This window comes from Homo sapiens, chromosome 3 (genome assembly GCF_000001405.40).
Source record: "Homo sapiens chromosome 3, GRCh38.p14 Primary Assembly".
NCBI lineage: Eukaryota > Metazoa > Chordata > Mammalia > Primates > Hominidae > Homo > Homo sapiens.
Window position 1 is genome coordinate 63,015,500 of NC_000003.12, and position 7,735 is coordinate 63,023,234.

General features: G+C 40.2%; 1 annotated feature.

Annotated features, from left to right (window-relative positions):
- Positions 258–988: an enhancer, noted in NCBI's record as "OCT4-NANOG-H3K27ac-H3K4me1 hESC enhancer chr3:63001433-63002163 (GRCh37/hg19 assembly coordinates)". NCBI's record gives its function as "activates a minimal SCP1, AML or CMV promoter by ChIP-STARR-seq in naive and primed H9 embryonic stem cells {active_cell/tissue: H9 hESC(naive and primed)}" and the evidence as "EXISTENCE:reporter gene assay evidence [ECO:0000049][PMID:30033119]".

Consider the following 7,735-nt stretch of genomic DNA (forward strand, 5'->3'; position numbering starts at 1 on the left):
GGTCCACAGAGACTGTGGCCATCCCTCCCCCTGGGAGCTCAGGCCCAGGGAGATCAGAGTTCTGTCCTTGAGCCCGTGGCTGGAGTTGGAGTTCCTGCAGGGAGGCCCTGCCCGCTGAGGAAGGATGGGTCAGGGTGAGGCCTGAAGAGGCACTCTGGCTGCAGTCCGCCAGCAGGGGACACCTCTTGGGACCAAGCTGTCCAGCCTCCCTGGCTCCAGCAGGGGAAAACAGCAGCCTACAGCTAAAGATGGCTGCCACCCTTCCCCCACCCATGCAGCTTAGCGTGTTAGGCAGCTGTTAGTCCCAGTGATGGCTGCTGCCCCTCCCCCAAGGACCTCAAACAGCTTAGACAATAGGCAGTCACAGCTGTGGTGCTGGTCACCCCTCCCCCAGGGAACCAGGCAGCCTTAAGCACATTTTAGCTGAGAGACTGTTGAGAATCTGCGTGGCTTTGGGGTTGGGACCTTAGGCCCCGGTGGTGTGAATTCACCCCAATCTGTGGGTTGCATGGTTCCATGCGAAAAGCAGTTTCTCCTGCTGTGTAGCACGCTCACTCACACCTCCCTTGGCTGGGGGGTAGGAGCTCCTCTCCCCCATGTGGCTCTCAGGTGGGCCTCCACACCACACTGCTCTTCCTTCCTCTCCTTAGATCACGCCAGCTGCCTAGTCAGTTCTGATGAGAGAACCTGGATAGCTCGGTTGCCAGTGCAGGATTCACATGCTATTGTGATACTTTTCAATGGGCACCTAAGATCGCCACTGCTTGTAGTCAGCCCCGGATTGCTTTTTAAAGACACGTGTGTAAAAATGTCCTTAAATACCCCGGAGACACACCAACTATCTTACCAGAATTAAATATTTCTTATGTAATTTGACATTATGTTTTTTTCAGACATAACAAGAGTGTAAAATGACACAATTTTAACTGTCAAGAAACACAGAAGCATCATACTTATATTTCAGGCCTACCATTTTGTCACTTCTCTCTTTTTTTGAGAATTTGATGGGCAAAATTAGGAAGCTCCGTTCCTTAGTTTTCTTTCTTTTTTTTTTTCTAATTTTAAGTTTTAGGGCACATGTGCACAACGTGCAGATTAGTTACATATGTATACATGTGCCATGTTGGTGTGCTGCACCCATTAACTCGTCATTTAACATTAGGTATGTCTCCTAATGCTGTCCCTCCCCCCTACCCCCACCCCACAACTGGCCCTGGTGTGTGATGTTCCCCTTCCTGTGTCCGTGTGTTCTCATTGTTCAATTCCCACCTATGAGTGAGAACATGCGGTGTTTGGTGTTTTGTCCTTGCGATAGTTTGCTGAGAATGATGGTTTCCAGCTTCATCCATGTCCCTACAAAGGACTTGAACTCATCATTTTTTATGGCTGCATAGTATTCCATGGTGTATATGTGCCACATTTTCTTAATCCAGTCTATCATTGTTGGACATTTGACTTGGTTCCAAGTCTTTGCTATTGTGAATAGTGCCTCAATAAACATACATGTGCATGTGTCTTTATAGCAGCATGATTTGTAGTCCTTTGGGTATATACCCAGTAATGGGATGGCTGGGTCAGATGGTATTTCTAGTTCTAGACCCCTGAGGAATCGCCACAGTGACTTCCACAATGGTTGAACTAGTTTACAGTCCCACCAACAGTGTAAAAGTGTTCCTATTTCTCCACATCCTCTCCAGCACCTGTTGTTTCCTGACTTTTTAATGATCACCATTCTAACTGGCGTGAGATGGTATCTCATTGTGGTTTTGATTTGCATTTCTCTGATGGCCAGTGATGATGAGCATTTTTTCATGTGTCTTTTGGCTACATAAATGTCTTCTTTTGAGAAGTGTCTGTTCATATCCTTTACCCACTTTTTGATGGGGTTGTTTGTTTTTTTCTTGTAAATTTGTTTGAGTTCATTATAGAGTTGTTTTTTTCTTGTAAATTTGTTTGAGTTCATTGTAGATTCTGGATATTAGCCCTTTGTCAGATGAGCAGATTGCAAAAAATTTCTCCCATTCTGTAGGTTGCCGGTTCACTGTGATGGTAGTTTCTTTTGCTGTGCAGAAGCTCTTTAGTTTAATTAGATCCCATTTGTCAATTTTGGCTTTTGGTGCCATTGCTTTTGGTGTTTTAGACATGAAGTCCTTGCCTATGCCTATGTCCTGAATGGTATTGCCAAGTTTTCTTCTAGGGTTTTTATGCTTTCAGGTCTAACATTTAAGTCTTTAATCCATCTTGAATTAATTTTTGTAGAAGGTGTAAGGAAGAGATCCAGTTTCAGCTTTCTACATATGGCTAGCCAGTTTTCCCAGCACCATTTATTAAATAGGGAATCCTTTCCCCATTGCTTGTTTTTGTCAGGTTTGTCAAAGATCAGATAGTTGTAGATATGTGGCATTATTTCTGAGGGCTCTGTTCTGTTCCATTGGTCTATATCTCTGTTTTGGTACCAGTACCATGCTGTTTTGGTTACTGTAGCCTTGTGGTATAGTTTGAAGTCAGGTAGCGTGATGTCTCCAGCTTTGTTCTTTTGGCTTAGGATTGACTTGGCGATGCGGGCTCTTTTTTGGTTCCATATGAACTTTAAAGTAGTTTTTTCCAATTCTGTGAAGAAAGTCACTGGTAGCTTGATGGGAATGGCATTGAATCTATAAATTACCTTGGGCAGTATGGCCATTTTCATGATATTGATTCTTCCTACCCATGAGCATGGAATGTTCTTCCATTTGTTTGTATCCTCTTTTATTTCATTGAGCATTGGTTTGTAGTTCTCCTTGAAGAGGTCCTTCAAGTCCCTTGTAAGTTGGATTCCTAGGTATTTTATTATTCTCTTTGAAGCAATTGTGAATGGGAGTTCACTCATGCTTTGGCTCTCTGCTTGTGTGTTATTTGTGTATAAGAATGCTTGTGATTTTTGCACATTGATTTTGTATCCTGAGACTTTGCTGAAGTTGCCTATCAGCTTAAGGAGATTTTGGGCTGAGACGATGGGGTTTTCTAGATATACAATCATGTCATCTGCAAACAGGAACAATTTGACTTCCTCTTTTCCTAATTGAATGCCCTTTATTTCCTTCTCCTGCCTGATTGCCCTGGCCAGAACTTCCAACACTATGTTGAATAGGAGTGGTGAGAGAGGGCATCCCTGTCTTGTGCCAGTTTTCAAAGGGAATGCTTCCAGTTTTTTCCCATTCAGTATGATATTGGCTGTGGGTTTGTCATAGATAGCTCTTATTATTTTTAGATACGTCCCATCAATACCAATTTATTGAGAGTTTTTAGCATGAAGGGTTGTTCCTTAATTTTCAACCTATCCAGCATAACCTGGATTTAGGCTTTTCTGAATAAATGGCTTTGAGCAGTAAGTTTTGATCTCTTTAAACAATAATCATTTGCTTCAGTGTCCTGAAAGCAGGATGGACTGCAAGAGACAGGTGTACCAGCAATCCCAAACAAGGAGAATGGTGGTTGGGTGACATCCTAAAGTTTTCTTGTCTCTTTCAAAGACCATTCTCCAGAATAACACTTGTCAGTAAAGACATAAGACCCCTTTTTCTCCTGACTCACCCAACCCTAGGTAAAAAAAAAAAGTTCCCCCAAAACACGATAGGGAAGCCCATAAACAAAAGAGGATCCTTTATTTTAGTCATCTCATTATTTGGCTTCCACAGAATCCAGTGGATCTCAATGAAGGCTTAAATGGCTTCCAAATAATGAGATGTCCAAAAGAAGGAGATGTATTGGAGGGTCATCAGAGGTTCATGAAAATTCTGCAAGTTTGCAGAACTGATCTGTGGCTTGAGGAGGCTCTAAGGCAGGAGTGTCCAATCTTTTGGCTTCCCTGGGCAACATTGGAAGAAGAAGAATTGTCCTGGGCTACACATAAAAAAAACTAACACTAATGATAGATGATGAGCTAAAAAAAAAAAAAATCAGAAATTTTTATGTTTTAAGAAAGTTTATGAATTTGTGTTGGGCCACATTCAAAGCTGTCCTGGGCCACATGTGGCCTGCAGGCCGTGGGTTGGACAAGCTTGCTCTAAGGCAATTCCAGAGAGCCAGGACTCAGGGTGCCTCATTGTAAGGCAGGGACAGTCTGTCACAGAACCTTTCCTGGACTGAGTCACCATCAATCATTCCTTCTGCTTTTTTTGTCACTTACTCAAGCTTTAAACTGGACAGGAAGTCCAAATGCCTGAGTTTAAGTAACATAACTGTTCAGCCTAGTCCAACTTTCTAATTGATTCTTTTGGTTATAAGGACTCTATTAAGTTCTTCTTTTTAAAGGCAAGAGCTAAAGATTCGTACTTTTGTTTCAGTTGCCTTTTATTTTGTTTCAGTTGCCTTTTATTTGCCATCAATATGCTTAAACATTTATTTTGTTGGATCAATAAGTTTGCAGATAATGAACTGGAAATGTGTGTGTTCAATGATAATAAATAATCCATTACTAATTAATTCTCCTGAATTAGAATTCAGTTATTGATGTTAGAAGTAAGAGTTTTTGCCAGTCACTAAAGATAAAATCGTTCTCCAAAAGAATAGGAATAAAAATGTCATTCTTTATAGTTTTTTTAACCACTTTTTTCAAATGATTATGGATGGCAAAAAATCATGTTTCACTGGTTTCACGTAATCTTCTATTAAAAGAGCTGATTTGAAAATACCAAAAAAAAAAAAATAGTGGGAGGATTACTTAAAGCCAGGAGTTTGAGACTAGTCTAAGCAACAAAGCAAGACACCATCTCTTAAAAAAAAAATAAAAATAAAAAACATTAGCAAGACACAGCTACTTGGGAGGCTAAGGTGGGAAGATCACTTGAGCCCGGAAGTTTGAGGCTGCAGTAAGCTATGACTGCACGACTGCACTTCAGTCTGCGTAACAGAGCCAAACAAAAAGAAAGATAAAGAAAGATGAAAGAAAGAAAAAGAGAGAAGAGAGAGAAAGAAAGGAGGGAGGGAGGACAGAAAGTGAAAGAAAAGGGAGGAGAGAGGGAAAGAGAGAGAAAGAAGGAAAGAAAATAAAGAAAAAATGAAAGAGAGAAAGAAGGGAGGGAGGGAGAGAGGGAAAGAAAGAGAAAGAAATGAAATGGGAAGAGAGGGAAAGAGGGAAAGAGAGAAAGAAGGAAAGAAAGAAAAAAGAAAGAAAAAGAAAATACAACAAAAAGAAAGAAAGAAATAATATAGCATGACAGCTTCAAGCTTCTATCTAGCACCACTCATGCAATTGTAGGCAATATGAGGCTGGAGACATGTTTTAGCTTCAAGCACAACACTGCTTGCTGTCCAACAAATAGTAAATTGTCCTAAATTGAATTGAATTGACCCTAAAATGCTGAACCAAGAGAAAATACTGTCTTTCTGTGGTTCCTCAAAGCAGTTCTGAAAGAAACGTTCGTTTGGGATCAAATGTAACTTGCCACTTGCTCCTTGTCCAACACCAGGCTCTCAGAGTTAAAGTAAAAATTCAGGATTATCCCTTCTGATTCCCCTCCATCAGCACTAGACTTAATTATTTATAAGTAATTTGTTGGAATGTCAGTGTTTAAGTTTTAAAGCTAGTGATGATTAGTGATTTGATACATAATAATGTTTAATACCAACAAAGGAGTAAAATGTTTAAGCTATTCGACCCCCTGTTTTTCTTTTTCTTTTTCTTTTTTCTTTTTTTTTTTTTTTGAGATGGAGTCTTGCTCTGTTTGCCCAGGCTGGAGTGCAGTGGTGCGATCTCGGCTCACTGCAGCCTCTGCCTCCCAGGTTCAAGCGATTTTCTTGCCTCAGCCTCCCAAGTAGTTGGGACTACAGGTGCATGCCAGCACACCCGGCTAATTTTTTTGTATTTTTAGTAGAGACGTGGTTTCACCGTGTTAGCCCGGATGGTCTTAATCTCCTGACCTCATGATCCACCCACCTCAGCCTCCAAAATAAAATTTCAAAAATGTCATGTATTGTCCATGATCTCATTACAATTCACTCTCTTACTTTTTTATTCTTAGTGTTAAAATCGGCATGAAGCTGGTAGGATCCACTATTCAGTGTGTTTTGTAGAGATGGCCAATTGTTATGTCTGAAGAACTTGTCCTCCGGATCTCTCCCATCTTTCCTTGGCCTGGCAAGAGTGGAGGGCCTGGCAAGAGTGGAGAGCCTGCCACAGTAGCCTTTAGAGCTAACTACACAATACTGCAATCTGATAAATAGAAACCCCACTGCCTTTTACCCATCTTCCTCTATGACTTTCAGTACTTTCCAAATGGTGTGGACTATGAAAAAAAATAAATAATAACAAAAATGTGGTTACATCAGACACAGGTGGAATGAGAGGGAGCTTTATTAAATAAGAGCATATTAAAATGTGTTAAAATAAATATCTTTTAATTTGAACATTAAATTTTGTCAGCCTGTAGCATGTCAATTCAACATATCTGTTAAAAATGAGATTTTTAGGAGCTTTCCTGACATGTGTAATTCTAAGAGGTTGCGAACAGTATTCCTTCTCAGAAGCATGTCCTCTGTAATCATATTACCTGGACTAAAGACAGAGGCCTGGTGCTGAGACTTCACATTTTTATTTTGGCATTTTAAAGGCTGCATATGTCTTCTCCCTGTCAGACTCTTCTCCACTTCGTTTTACTCTGCCTCCTGGTTTCCTTTCTTCTGTCACGTCTCCTTAGACAAAGTTCCACTTCTCATTTCCATGAATCCTTGGTCTAACATCAGTTGAACATTCTCTGCAGTGCCTGGGGCTCTTTGGAAAAGAGATGTTATAGAAATCTAATGAATAAATAAAAGACTAGCTCATACCCTCAGGTCCTTGTGTTGCCTAGTGCTGATGAAGTTAGCAATTTTCTAGGATTTGAATAAGTATATTACTGAAATGTAGACTATGAAACAGAGTAAACTTCATTTAAATGAGGAGAGGCTACTGTGGGGTAATTTCAACCACAGTAAGGCCCTAATCACATCTTCTGTGTTTATTTTTTCTTCTTGGTAAGGTATATGTGCCCAGTTCTAGGTCTAATATTGTTGTTCTTAAGACATTAAAATGTATTTTATAAACCTTCATTCACTCTGTCTGCATTGCACAGAAAACATATTTTTCTGTTGGCAAAACACACACATAGTTAGGAAGCCTGTGTGTTTATGTAATTATATTTGGGTTTCTGGTGAAATCCTCTAAGGACACTTGATTGATTTAAAATAAATGGAATATCATTTGTAAGCTTAAGGGAGGCTTGGAGAGTTAGATTCAGTGGTGTGCTGAGAACTGACTCTAGTATTATTACAAAAAGAACATAGTCATTGCAACATTTCAACTTTGTTGATCCCTTAATATCAGAAATTCTCCACTTAAACATATATTCTGATGTCAAAAGATTAGAAAGAACTCGTTTCCCCCGCGATTTTGGCCCAACACACAAGGCCTTTTAATCACCTTAGCACAGGACAGTGATCTCTTTGGAAAATGACAAGTTAGTTCATTCCTGCTTCTTTCCACTGGTGCTGGAGCAACAGGGAGAATGGTGCAAATTGCACTCTGTGAAATAATGAAGCAAATAATGTCTCTTCAAATGGAACTGAGCATATTTACATCTAGAAATATGTTCTATATGAATGCTTTTATTGTGCAAAAATAATTCACTGACATGGAGATAATGCAGAGTGGAGAGTGGAGGAACAGGGAGGATTTTATAGACACTCCCATTGAGACAGTTTTCCTGAAATGAGTCAG